At 39.6% G+C, this 14,783-nt stretch overlaps 2 annotated features.

The window, feature by feature from the left end:
• Window positions 3,270-4,469: an enhancer, noted in NCBI's record as "MED14-independent group 3 enhancer chr6:106048698-106049897 (GRCh37/hg19 assembly coordinates)". NCBI's record gives its function as "activates an origin of replication core promoter dependent on BRD2, BRD4, P300/CBP and CDK7 cofactors, and independent of MED14, by STARR-seq in HCT116 cells {active_cell/tissue: HCT116}" and the evidence as "EXISTENCE:reporter gene assay evidence [ECO:0000049][PMID:35650434]".
• Window positions 3,841-4,420: an enhancer, noted in NCBI's record as "active region_24874". NCBI's record gives its function as "activates an Ori minimal core promoter by ATAC-STARR-seq in GM12878 lymphoblastoid cells {active_cell/tissue: GM12878}" and the evidence as "EXISTENCE:reporter gene assay evidence [ECO:0000049][PMID:35858748]".

Genomic DNA, 14,783 nt, shown 5'->3' on the forward strand with positions numbered 1-14,783 from the left:
CTGTTCTATTCTGTCTTCTATGTATTTGACTTTTTTTATTTTTTAAGATTCTACATGTAAGAAAGATTATGCCATATTTTTCTATGTCTGGTTTCTTTCACTTAGTATAATGTCTTCCAGTTTCACACATGTTGCAAATGGCAGGATCTCCTTTTTAAAGGAATTCCTTTCAAAAATAATATTCTATTACATCTATATATCTATATACCTATCTATCTATCTATACCTATATCCATCTCTATCTGTATGCCACATTTTCTTTATCCATTCATTTGTCAAGGGACACTCAGGTTGTTTCCATATTGTGCCTATTGTAAATAACACTGCAAAGAACATAGGAGTGCAGATATCTCTACAAGGTGCTGGTTTCATTTACTTTGGGCATGTACTCAGAAGAGGGATTCCTGGGTCATATGGTAGTTTGGTTTCTTTGTTTTTGAGACGGGGTTTTGCTTTGTTGCCTAGGCTACAGTACAGTGGCATGACCGCAGCTTACTGCAGCCTCCTCTGCTCAAGTAGTCCTCCTGCCTCAGCCTCCTGAGTAGTTGGGACTACAGGTACATGCCACCACACCCAGTTAGTTTTTTTGTTTTGTTTTGTTTTTGTAGAGACTGTGTCTTGCTATGTTATACAGGCTGATCATGCACTCCTGACCTCAAGCAATCCTGCCACCTTGGCCTCCCAAAGTGTTGGGAATAAAGGTGTAAACCACTCTGCCCAGCCTTTATGGTAGTTTTATTTTTAATTTTTTGAGGGGCCTCCACACTGGTTTCCACCACGGCTATACCAGTCTACATTTCCACCAACAGGATACAAAGGTTCTTCTTTCTCCCCATCCTCCCCAACACTTGTTATCTCTCGTCTTTTTCATAGTAGCCATCCCAACAGGTATGAGGTGACAGGTCCTTGTGGTTTTGATTTGCATTTCTCTGATGATTAGTGCTGTTGAGCACCTTTGCAAACACCTGTTGACCATTTTTATGTCTTCTTGCAAATGTACTTTTACTTCCAATCTTACCCTCATTTTTATTGATAGCAAATGTGAGAGAAGGAAATCCGAAGTAAGTGCCATATTTTTTCATGAAACTACCTAGCATTCAAACAGTGCTTTGTTCTTTGAAGATAGTTTTACACATCCCATTTTCCTCTCACAAAAACTGAGTGCAGTAGTTAAAAGGCATTATCATCTCCACTTTTAAAATAAGGTAACTGAGACCCAGAGGAAGCATGCAAGACATTTGCCTAAGATCAGATAATAAGTTGGCAGCAGAACTTAGACTAAAACCCAGATTTCCTTTTTTTTCATTTTAGTAGTTATTTGATTTTTTAAATCCTATTGTACAATTTTTCTTTAGGTACTTTTAAATAGACTTGATTATTTTATGATCAAGACTTGATTTTATTCAAACAGCAAATATTTGGCAGTCACTCCACATGAATAACTTCTGTCTTGGTTCTAGGAATGGAATACTCATGGCAAACTTTTTATTATGGAGAAACAATACAATGATCTTTATTTCATGGATCCATGAAGTGAAATAGCATTTTTTTCTACAGAAACGTGAAGCTCCCTTTATTGATTTGTCTTTGTTTTAAAAGTTAAAAGATATAGAAAGGTGTAGTAGATAATATAACAAATATGAGTGTACATCCCACACAATTGACCAGTATGGACACATTCTATTTTTGCATTATATATATTAATAAATATGAAGCTGATATATCTCTTCATTTATTCATCTTTTGTGTACTTTAATAACATAAAATTCAGATCTTTTGATCCAGAAGCCAGAGATTGTGAGGTCACACAGACCACATGGGAACAGAAAGCTTAAAGGTCTGACAGGAAAAGTTTACCTTACCAAGCTCCTTCCCCAAGTAAAACAGAACCAGCAGACCCCCAAAATAATGCTGCTGGGCGTTCCCTGAGGCAACTGTTGGGTCATTATGTGCTGTGTTTTTCTAGAAGCTTTCTTCTAAAGTTTTAGGCAGCACCTTGGCCCACACCTGGCTCTCTAAGAGGCTTTGAGTCATTATTTCTTAAAATGTATTTATTTATTTACTAGCTCCCAGTGAAAGGGAAAGGGGAAAGGGCCTCGGGCAAGGGGAGCAACTGTAGCTGTTATTTGTGTAAAGCAGAAATACAATTGGCTGTTTTTTCTTGTCTATTCAAGTTCCCCAGATCAGCTATTAGAAAGGGAGAGAGCTGACTTAGTACATTTAGACACGTAAAGGAAAACTGAGGTAATGTGAGACCTCAGGGGCTTTTCGTTGTTGTTGAAAGATAAATACTATTTTACACTCAAGTCCTGTAATACATGTGGCATAGGAACTGATGAATGACTCATTTGTTGTTGGAAAGTGAACAAACTTGCCTAATGATATAGTTTTCTTTTCACTGTGTGTGTGTGTGTGTGTGTGTGTGTGTGTGTGTGTGTGTGTTGCATATGTGTGTCTGTTCTTTCTGGGCAATGCCTCCCTTTGACTCATCTCATATTTTGAATTATGGCATTTTTTAAAAATTGGCAAATTCATTTCATTCACTGGTTGCTTCTAATTTTAAATATGTGTCTAAAGCAACAGAACTACAAATGAAACCCCAGTCTTTGATTGTTAGGGACTTTGGGGTAGAGAAGGCAAATCAGAACAATGCCAAAGGGATATTTCTGAAAATCCATACTTCAGAGTAGATTGATTTTTCAAAGAATCATGTGCCAAAAAAAAATTAAGGGATATTGATAAAATTGCTATGCTTTATCTCTTTGGTTATAAAAATTAAATACACAGACACACGCTATAAAATTATATCAAATTTATTGTGATGATTCTTTGTATGATTCCTTTGTACTGATAGAACTATTTATTTTTCTTCTATTTGGGCTCCACCTTTTTTCCTGTTTGTGTAATTCACGTCAATGCTTTGCTCGAGATTAAGTCAGAGATGAATTATGGGTTCTGGAATGTGAAATCCTCTGTTTCAGTACATACGTATTCAACCGGGGACAGCACCTTCTTGACTGGTAGATGGGAAAGAGCAACCCAGTCACTAAGCACTGGGCTACTTTTTGTGGGTGTTCTTATGCTTGTATGCATTCCTTTTCATCAGTCTTCTCTCAGAATAACTTGGATTTCCAGGTCTCCCAAAGCGTTTTGGAATTCCATTCTGTGTTCTCCTTTGTCATGTGTATTCCAATCCCTATCTGTGCTTCTTTCTACCTTTTTGAGGTGCTATCTATCGACTCCTCATCAGGTGAAGCAATGTGAGATGACAAACTGTGAAAAGCTTTAAGAACACCCTCTTAAATTGTAGCTCTTGAGTCCCAGAGTTCAGAAGGAGTGGGAAAACCATTCTATAAATAAAAATATCTGGAGATACTCAGGAGAAGACTGGCTGTTCTAAAAGCGAATGCTAGTTAACATGGCCAGACAGTTTTTTTGCATCTTTACTTGGAAAAGAGAATCTATGACACCCTCTAAAATATCAAGCAGTCTTAAGTGGATAATGTTGCTCTAGTTGGTTTCACTGTCAAAGCCATTTAAAACTTCAGCAACTTATGAGATAACGTATCCTAAGGGTCTGATTTCTGAACATGAATTTAAGGGTCCCTCTGATGCCTGTGCTCTAAATACTTCATTAATAACATAAATGATGTCCTCAGTACAATTAAAACAATACTTTAGCTATTGATATTTGTCCCTTTAGGGATTCTTGATTTTATGTGCATGCTTATTATTTGCCCTCATATAAGCACTCACATGATATTGTCAGTAACTGAGAGTTGGATAACCGGCTTGTTTTTCAGGGTACCAATTACTCTTCCCGGCTTACATCTTGTGTGGGCTTTTGGCAGACATCAGCTTCTAGCACCTAGAAGGCACTTCCTTCTCCAGAGTAACTTTATGGAAACAAGGACTTTGTTGCAACTGGCTGAGGTTGAAATGAACACCTCCTCTCTCTGCTTTACAAAATAAGTGGAGACTAACTAACTGGCCTAGGCAAGTTTTCTGTATTCTTGGATTGATTAGTCCTTGCATTCTCTTTGCCTCTTCTCAGACTGTCTCTAAATTTAGCAATGCGATATGGTACAAACAGTCTTTCACATATGCTGTGTCACCAAGGGGATTTCAGGATTGTTTCATTGGTCTGCCTTGGCAAAGCTGACGCAATCTCCCATTGGTCTGTGCTCAGGAATCTGGGTGGGAAGTGAAAGTACAGACAAGCCTGCCAAGGCGAACTCCATCATGCAAGAGCTTGCTGCTGTGTGTGGGACTGAGACCCAGATTCGGGCCAATTCAAAATGAAAACCTTCAAATGAGTGCTCTGAGAGTAAAATGAAACTGAATCTGCTTGCTACATGTCGATGAGGTTCAAAAGATGGCAACAGTTTTGGGGTGCAAGGTCAAGCTGAAGAGTTAAAAACAGAAAGGAACCTTCTTTCCTCAGCCTAAATAAATATCCTTTCCTAGAGGTATCACTGGGAAGGTGGCACAGAGGAAGGTCAAGTGATCCCCTCTCTGGGGTCCACATGCCCGCTGCTGGGCCACACCTCACCCAGGCCCTTCCCTTGTGAACACCTCACAGAGGGACTGGCTCCAAACTGACCCTGAAGAATTATGTGAAATCCTTCTCGTTTAGAGCTTTAAAGGGTGTAAGAGAATCATGAGGATTTGGAAAAACTAGGACTGGGTCCATGTTTATGCTTGCAGCCTTTTACCAACAAATACATATGTACATATATGTACATATATATATATATATTTTCTCTTTAATGTTTCATAAGATATTTTTATCACCTAAATGAAGATAAATTAGCTGAGCTTGTTTGGCATAGAACATATCGCAATATTTTTTATTTTTAAAAATTTGTTTTTTTCTGATTATCAATTCATACTCATTGAAAAAATAGTCAAATGTTACAGAAATGTGTAATAGAAAACAAGAGGGTTTCCCTTTCATCACAACCCCAGGAATAACTTTCATTAGCAATTTGCTTTATATCCTCAGTTTTCTCCCCACAGATGCTCGCTCTATCTATCTATCTATCTATCTATCTATCTATCTATCTATCTATCTATCTAACTATCTATGTATCTATTTTTTATGAGAATAGAATCTCCTTGATATACTAATAAATTGCTTTTTTATTCTACTCAACTACTTTTCCATGTTTGTTTATAAAGATATCATGTTTAGTTTTTAAAACTAGACTTTAAAAATTATATAGGTTTACACAGAATAAAGAACACAGAGAACTCTTTATTAAAAATAAAAGTGCTTTCCTTCTGTCCTCCACCCCACAGTAACACTGTGGTCTTTGGAATCTTGCAAAAACATACACAAGGGTACGCATATGTACTTGTTTACTTCTGTGTATTTTTTTTTTTTTTACATAAATGGAATTGCACTATATAGTTCTGTAGCTCAGTTTTTAAAATTTGGTATTAAAATGTTCTTTCAGTTAGGGCCAAAGGGCATTTAACTTCAAGGTAAGACCCATTCCAGGACGGCAGAGATCATGTCTGTCTTGCGTATCCCTGTGTGAATTTTGCCTGACATGTTGCAAACACTCCGTATGGAAGTCTTGAGGGTCTTCTGCCCCAGTCAGAAAACCTCTGGGAGAACAGTTATCCCCAGACCTCAGACGCTCGACGGATACATGAGAAGCTTTCTTTGATGGATTCGATGTCAGGATCTCCATGTGAACTTCCACTTAGAGGTGTCATGCTATGGTGAGTCCCATTCCTAAGCATGGTAAAAATTTGGTGCCCCAAAGTCTATAGGGGAGTGCACGTACATGGCTGGGGAGGGAATAAAGAGGCCAAAGAGGTCAGCAGCCCTTGGTGCTGCTGAAATTCTCCCTAAACCAGCAATCAATAAAATACATCTTATCTTCTTTGGATTAGAAAATTCAACTTTGATAGCAGAACAAGTATTCTTAGTAATTAGTAAGATTATTAATAAAGAATCTTAGATTCTTAGGGGATTCTTTTAGTGAACTACAAAACTAGTTGTGTGCATGCATGTGTAAGCTGAAATATATCAGTAACAGTATTAAATAATGTGTGTATTTGAGTTCTAATATATCAAATTACAATTTATTTAAGATATGCATCCTATAATACTCTTCCTCACCAAACAGTTTCTAATGTGATAGTTGGTTTTTAATTCTCTAGTGCTAGAAAAAGAAAGTGATTCATGTCACTGAATTTGAGCATCATTTCAGGGCATTAAAAAACCCAAATAACATTTCAGAAGACTTTTGATCATAATTTTGGGGTTAATAGAAATTAAAATCAATATATGGTAGCTTTGAGTAAGAGACAAAACCTATCTACTGGAGAGACTTCAAAGGTCAACGGATCCCAGAAAGGCTCTAACTTATTAGAGACATTTATCATGCATTGCCTTTGGGACATTAAAATGTCACCCTCAGGATTTATGGTTTTTGCAAAATGTGTACAATTTCTGTGGGGAATTTTTCTTATCCCAAAGGACAGGGATAATAGAAAGGAAGCCTTTTATTAGGGCTTACTTTTAAAATGTTCTGAAAGCACTAAAGAGTCAGGATGACTGTTGTCCAGCTGGCTACAGGCAGTTGGCACATAAATCACAAGGAATTGGCCATAGTGAGACTCTGCACAGAACAGCTTGCACAAATTGGCAACTGATCATTCCCTCTCCTTTATTTCTGTATAAACTGTTTACAGAAAACTATGCGGCAGAGTGTCTGAGAATAGTGACTTTCTAATCCCTAGTAATTCCTAGGAAATGTAATTGTAGGAACAAATTTCATAAAGTATCTTCAGTCTTACATAAATCTGTGTAAATCACAGATCCCTTTAAATGCCGTTTGGATAGCAGAGCTCTAGCTGGAACTGCAACCTGACTTCCCTCTGGAGCTTCCTGAAGGCAGCTTGCTGATTCCCTGGTGGAACCCTTGCCTTCCCAGACTGACCAACCCTTGCCAACAGCCATCAGTTCTTTCCAGATAATTCGGGACAATGTCACCCCCTTTGCTGTGTCAAGAACTTGCCCCTTGAATTTTAAAAGCATCTGCCTTTCATAAGAAAACTCAATTTTCTGCTGCTGACTTATTTACACACAGAGTTGCAGATGCCTAAATTGAAGTGACTTGTTGCTATTCTTGGCTGTGAACAGGCTCTCTCTGTTGAAAACTGAAAACCTGTGTGGTGGATGGCACGAGTCCTGTTGAATGGTGCAAACGTCCCCTGCACAAAAGCACTATTAGGATGAATGAGAAATGACAAAGTGAGAACTGGACATAATTTGTTAACAGCTTCCGAAGTTGATGAGGATCAATGAAGATCCTCTTGGAATGCAGGGTATCCATGTTCTTCTTTCAACTTGCACATCATAATAAAATAATAGTTTGTGTTTGTACAAATGTATAAAATAAGTAAGTATCATGTTAAAGACATAGATCTGTGAACACAGAGCTGGTAAAGTTTTCTTTCTGCTGTTCACATGGGGAAAATCAGATGGCCCAATGTAGAAATGGACACTGAATTTGGTTGTCATCCAAATGGGTCCATGTCACTCTTCAAAATGTATCTCCAGTCCTGCCCCCTTCTCCATTTGTGCTGTCACTGACCCACCCTAGGCCTCTAGGATCTCTCACCTGGATGATGTCTGTACCCTGCTAAATTGTCCCTCTCATTGGCTTCCATTAATTTATCTTTTTGGACCATTGTCAAATTGTGATCCATATATTACCCATACCTATTATGTCATTCCCGTTTATAACCTTTTGGAGTTTTTTCTCACCTTACAGAATGAAGTCCAACTAAGACTCTCAGTGTCACCTCTGCCTGTTGCTCCAGGCTCAGTCCCACGCTTCTGTGGGCATCCTATGCTAATAGGTTTGCATTCCTCATGCTAAATGATCTCTGTCACCTCTGTGCCTTCGTTTCTGTTGCCCTCTCTACCTGAGACATTTTCCCCTTTCTCTTGGCTGGCCTAACTATTGATTATCCATTAAAATTCAACTCCTATACTGCCTTCTCCAAACATCCTTCCCTGGCACACTGTCCATCAGGGTAGGTAAGCTGCCCAGCCCCTTGTGGGCCCCCTAGTCCTGCAGGCTTTGCTCTCACTGCACTTGAATATTGGAGCATAGTAACTGCAATGTTTGGAGTGTTTTTCTCCCCTGCAAAGTTCACATCTAACCCCCAAATTGATGATATTAAGAGGTAAGGCCTTTGAGAGGTGATTAGGTCATGAAGCCTCCAACCTCATTAATGGAATTAGTGTCTTTATAAAAGAGGCCCAAGGGGACTTGTTCACCCCTTCGGCCATCTGTGAGTTGGAGAGCTAGCCCTCAAGAGACACTGAATCTGGTGACAACTTGATTTTGGACTTCCCAGCCTCCAGAACTGTGGAGATAAATTTCTGTTGTTTATGAATTATCTGACCTAAGATACTTTGTTATAGCAATCTCAATGAACTAAGACAGTAATCTAATTATGCATCCTCTGGTCTATGACATGCTTGAACACATAAACTGTAACTTATTCATTGTTGTGTTCTCACCCAAATACAGCACCACATCTGACATATAGTTGGTACCTCATAAATGTCTGATGAATGAATAAATGAGGCTGGATAGGCAACATGAGGTAAAAGAAGAGTTTATATTTTCATACTAGGTTTATGGGGTTTATAGTAGGTTTTAGATAAGATTTATGGTAGGTTTTACATAAGTTTATATAAGGCTTATAAGAAATATATGCTTATTTATAAATAAGTAGAATAATTAAAAATAATTTATAGAGCTTAAAAACACATTAGAGAGCATCTAGTCCTATGCTTTTCTTTTACAAATGGGCAACCAGAAGCCCAGAGAAGTTATGACCTGTCCAAGGCCCCACAGTAAGGTAATAACCTCTGAACAGATCCACATATAGTATTTGTGGGGCCCACTGTATGAATTGAGGTCTGTACAATATATGCTTTAATATTTATGTTCAAGTAAAGAATATCACGATTCCCTAATGGCACATTTAACCATACATATGTACAAATTAAAGAACACAAAGTGCTTAATATTGTAAACTGTTCCTCAGCCGCCATGTGAAACTAAGGTAAATACCACACTAACTCTTAAATATTTCTGGAACCACCAATTCAAAGTTGAAGAGGAGCAAGAAAATTGCAGCTCAGCACTACTGGGAAGTGATACTTGGTTTTGCGATTTGAAAGGACTTGACAAGTTAATTAATTTGTCTTTTTCTTTACCAAAGTGCTCCTGCGACCTAATACTCCCCATATCCCAAAGCATCGCCCATCTCAGCTGTCAGCAGTGGCACAGCCTGCAAGACTTCATGGCATTTGGTCACAGTCCTTCTGTCCTGATGACATCAGGCGAAAGAAGTGCCACAGTGTTTCCCTGGGGCCTGAAGAGTATTAATCACACAGTCAGATGTTGGGCTGTGTGATACCAGGACTGAGTATCCATTTGTTGGTTAATAAGTGTGTGTGCTTATGATATGGGAAGTCCTCTAAAGCCAAGGGCCCAGGGCAAGAGTCCCTCTTGCCTCACTCTATGAGCAATATTAAATGGGAAAGAAATTCATACACAGTAACTATCAAGCTCGCCATTAAAATGCCCTATTAAGGTATTATCTGAGAATTTAGAAGAAGGTAATAGTGCCTTAGGGTACCTAATACAGGTTTTTTTACATTCTTATGGCATTGCATTTAGGATCATCTAAAGTATAAAGGCCTAAGGGGAAAGAACAAGAAACTGGGAATTTGCAGTCCTGGATTGTTTTCTTAAATCTACTAATTACCTACTGGGTAACTTTGAGAAAACACAACCTGTTAATGGTTAGCCATTTCAGTTTCTCTACCCATAAAATAAGCCATAAATTATCTACACCCATGCAAAAGTGCTGGGAGAAGAAATGTTCAAATGAAAGGTATTGTAAAATTATAACATGGTTTTACAAAGTTTAAAAGCTGCTCTGACCTCCACTTAAATTTACATGATGTCAGACTTCCACAGAGAGGGTCTCCAATAGAACTAGTCTTAGATGCAGTCGTGTGTTTTCTTTTAGCTACTCAAAATGAGTAACTAAGAAAGGTGTTTTATAAATCCAATCTATTTTCTTGAGAAAATGAATGGTTTACGTGTAACATATACCTATCATGTTAAAAGACTTTATTGTGAAGATAAGAATGTTGACTGAGAGCCTCTTCCTTTCTATTTATATCCCATCTCTTGTCAGCATGGTGCCTGTCCCCTTCTGGGCTGCCAGAGACTCCCTGCTTCTCCTTGACTGGTTATAAAACTGCCAGTCTTTTGCCTTCCCGGGCCACATTTAAGCTGTTCTGAGTTCTTGAATCTGCCAGAACAACCTGTGATTTGGATTAAGGTTGTATCAAGAAACTCAAAGACCCTGAGACAAATGTGGTTAAAAGCAGATATTTTCTTGATGTAGGATTGGGGACCAACATCACAAGCTTTATTGAGGAGGCATTCCAAGAGAGCTGACCACACCAAAACAGTCTCATGTGTTCTGAAGGGCTATGGTTTCCCTGCTGCATGGCTGGAGTCATTCTTCCCTCACAAAGCACATTGTGCTTTATAGATGCAGAGAGAATACACTTTGACCTCTAATTCAGGCATGGAAACAAGCAGTGCTGAGCTGGTCTCTGGTGACTCCCAGGGTCTGGAACCACTGGACAGAGCAAGGTTGGGGTGGGCTTTGATGACCTCTTTCTGAGGTTCTAGGCTAACAAACTAATCACAAGGAATGGGCGACTCGTAGTGCTGCCTGGGAGGCAGATGATACACTTGCATTTTCCTTTTTCCATGGTGAGGCAGTTCCTCACTTTGAGAGAACCATGATTCTCATGGCATGTATTTCTTATTTTCTTTAGCTCCCTGTGCCAAACTCTCTCCTCAGAACCTGTCACAGCCTTAGCCACTATAGATGCTCAACAAATATTTGTTGAATAAACAAATAAAACATCGCTTCCTTATTCTTCTGTTGGTATTCCATTAAAAAATGGATACCCCACTTACAAGAACTTCAGAAGAACTTTCCCATTCTAAAGTTCCCAGAAATCCAAATGGACAAAATATTTCCATTTTAATTTTTAAAGATCAGAAGAATGCAGTGACCACAGTTTATATTTTCCCTCCTATTCTCCTCAGGGCCTGTGTTGCTCATTTAAATGCAATTTGACGTATGTTTGGGTCAGTGGCCTCAGTCCGGAGGCTCTTACAGTAACTTGGCACTGTGGAAATCCCAGAACTTCGGCCAGGGTCTGGAGGAGACGCGTGGGGTTGGGGGCACTGAGGGCCACTCTCATTAAGCCTCAGGCAGTGGTCCGGCCTGCCTTGGGCAGGAGATCTCTGGACTAGTTAGCTTGGTTTAGCATGGAAACAGTCAGCAATGCCTGAGAAAGCCACGAGGCTGGTCAAGATGACTAGGAAGATTATAAACCAGAAAACTTCCGCCTTGGTATTTGAAAACCACATGGAATTTTACAACATTCTTGCCTATTAACTGCTGGGAAGGGCACTACCTTATTGCCTTGTGCATAATGGAACCAATCTTTCCCCTCAGAGGCCCCCGTGTTGCTTTGATCAAGTTCAAAAGATGAGGGGAATGATGACTAAGGGCCTTGGGAACCAGACTGAAGAATCTCACAGACATACTCCAGGGTTTTTTGGGGATTGTTTGTTTTCTTTTCTGACGCATCATTTTGGTAAACAATTCCTATAGTCTGTGCACTTATCAAATTCCTTACCCAAATATTTGCTATTTATAAAATAATCAAGGAAACAGACTTGTGTTTATTATTCCTAAATCAGCCACAGTTTGATGAATTAAAAACAGTCTTACTTTTTCCTCCTTCCTCTCCCTTTACCAGCCTCTTGTAAAAGTGCCAGCATTATACACCCAACTCTCTCTTTAGACAGTAAAAATGAAAAATAAAAGTGACCTTCGTGAACTGTGCATTGCCTCTGCATAGTCTGTTAGACTTCGGGCCAGCAGCCAACCCCCCTTAGCACCAGAGGTAGATCTTTGGAAGCGATTGAGTTGGAAAGGGATACAGTAAATGTCTGTTTCCGGTTCACAGGGGCCTCAGCGTCACCACATCGTTTGGACGTCTGACCAGTTTCCTGACTTTGAGAGTCTCTTACTTTAAACATGAGGGATCAGCCCTAGAAAGGAAAGGAAAGACACACGCAAGAGTCTGCCTCTGACTCCACCGGCGGCCACTCTCAGGATGGGTCCTCCAGACGGGATTTAAACAGAACTGTTTTGATAGGGACAGTGCTTTCTGTTGCTGTCCTGGGGCAGGGTGATGGCGAGGACACAGGGTGCTTTCAGATCCTCTGCGTGGACAAGACCAGCTCTGGGCCAGCTTCCAGGAAGCCCCACTGGTAGCGACAGAACATGTCCAATTCAGAAAGCCCTTCAGGGCTGGTTCAACTGGATATCGTATTTAAATGGATCTATTTATATTTCATATGTGTGAAAGAAAGGCTTTGTTGGATGAACACATTTACACTTTTCTTTTTTTTTTTTTTTTTACTGATTAAAATTTTATTATTTTGGCCAGGTGTGGTGGCTCACACCTGTAATCTCAGCACTTTGAAAGGCCAAGGTGGGTGGATCACTTGAACTCAGGAGTTCAAGACGAGCCTGAGCAACGTAGGAAGTCCCATCTCTACCAAAAAAAAAAAAAAGTAGTGGGCTGTGGTGGCACATGCGTGTAGCCCCAGCAACTCACAAGACTGAGGCAGGAGGATTGCTTGATTCTGGGAGATGGAGGTTGCAGTGAGCTGAGATCACGCCACTGCACTACAGCCTGGGTGACAGAGTGAGACCCTGTCTCAAAAAAAATTATTTTTTCTAATTTGCAAATTGTAATGTTTTATTTTTTATTTTTTGTAGGTACATAGTAGGTGTATATATTTATGGGATACGTGAGATGTTTTGATACAGGCATGCAATGTGAAATAAGCACATCATGGAGAATGAGGTATCCATCCCCTTGAGCATTTATCCAATCACACTCTTTAAGTTATGTTAAAATGTACAATTAAGTTATTATTGACTATAGTCACCCTATTGTGCTATCAAATAGGTCTCACTCATTCTTTCTATTCTTTTGTACCCATTAACCCCACTTAAACTTTTCTTTCTGAAAGAGACAAACTTGCTAAATTATCATGAGAGAACCAAAGAATTCTAATGAATCATTTTATTTAAAAAATAACTACAGTTATCCTTTACCAAACTAAAATTCCAGGTCTGCAACAACTTCGATTTGGCACAGAGTTGCTGCAAAGCTTAATGTGTATATTTACACACTTCAGCCCTCTTAAAAGCCATCCTACTATTGATGTCCCCATCGAGTCCTTAGTTTCCTATGTTTCTATGTTTCTAAGTGGAACAGCAAGTCTCACCTACCTTTAGAGTCCACGCTCTAATTGCTTTCATTCCTTTATAATATGCTGAGCTCACTTAAAAGCTGGTTTCGGCCGGCTGTGGTGGCTCACGCCTGTAATCCCAGCACTTTGGGAGGCTGAGGCAGGTAGATCACCTGAGGTCAGGAGTTCGAGACCAGCCTGGCCAACATGGTGAAACCCTGTCTCTACTAAAAATATAAAAATTAGCCAGGTGTGGTGGCGGATGCCTGTAATCCCAGCTACTTGGGAGACTGAGGGAGGACAATCACTTAACCCAGGAGGCAGAGGCTGCAGTGAGCCAAGATTGTGCCATTGCACTCCAGCTTGGGCAATGGAGCAAGACTCCATCTCAAAAAGAAAAAGAAGTAAAAAAAAAAAAGCTGGTTCCTACTCTGCCAAGGTGAAACTGTTGGTTGCTAACTTTTGAGGAGAATGGGCTCTGTTTGGCATGATTTGGCTGAGAGAGGCAAAAGCATGCAGCCTCCCACAGGAAACGGTGGGAGAAACACCAGCAGCAGATGTAGGCAGATGTTTATGGAAAATGGTGCACAACATATTCAGAAGTAAAAATTTCATATTCGTGAATACAAATTTCATTTACCATTATGAAAATAAACATTTCAGTAAATCATTTCATAACTAGAGGGATCCCAGAGGCAGGAGTCATCTCACCTTCCAAAATAATAGCAGCCAGCCAGGGTATGGCAGTGGCAGCAATGACACTTCTACCTCTAGCTGCCAGTCATAGGCATCCTAGCAACCTCCGTCAGGAGAAGAGTGGGAGGGAAAATGTTTTTTTTTCCTCCAAGCATTATGAAACAACTAGGGAGGCTAGTCTCTGAGGATTTGATCTAAGGCTTGCCCAAATTACTTTCTCTCAGGAACTTTTGCCTTGAACCAATTTTAGGCACCAAACTAGTTCTCTCTTGCTGGAAGAACGTGATTGTATTGTCTGAAATTGTGCATGCTTCCTTGTAGGATGCCAGTGGAAAACCCCAACCATGCCCTTTCCCACTAAATTATTAGGATTTCACTTTCCAGTAAATGCAAAAAGAACATGCAAGCATGGCTAAGAGGTTTTTTTCTAATTAAAAAGCTACACTTTTTATCTTAACATTTCTACTTCTGTAAGCTTTATGTGGGCATGAGACCATACCATTTGTCTTTACATCCCCACAATACCCAGTAATATTTATGTACATAATTGGAGATGAATAATGATTCTCTTAGATAAAGAAACTTGTCCACCCACCTCTACCACAAATGAAAATCCTTTTTCTTATAGAACTTTTTGGCCAAGCAAAGGCTCATGATATCTGTAATATCTGTGAT

The sequence above is a fragment of the Homo sapiens genome, chromosome 6 (assembly GCF_000001405.40).
Source record: "Homo sapiens chromosome 6, GRCh38.p14 Primary Assembly".
Taxonomy (NCBI): domain Eukaryota; kingdom Metazoa; phylum Chordata; class Mammalia; order Primates; family Hominidae; genus Homo; species Homo sapiens.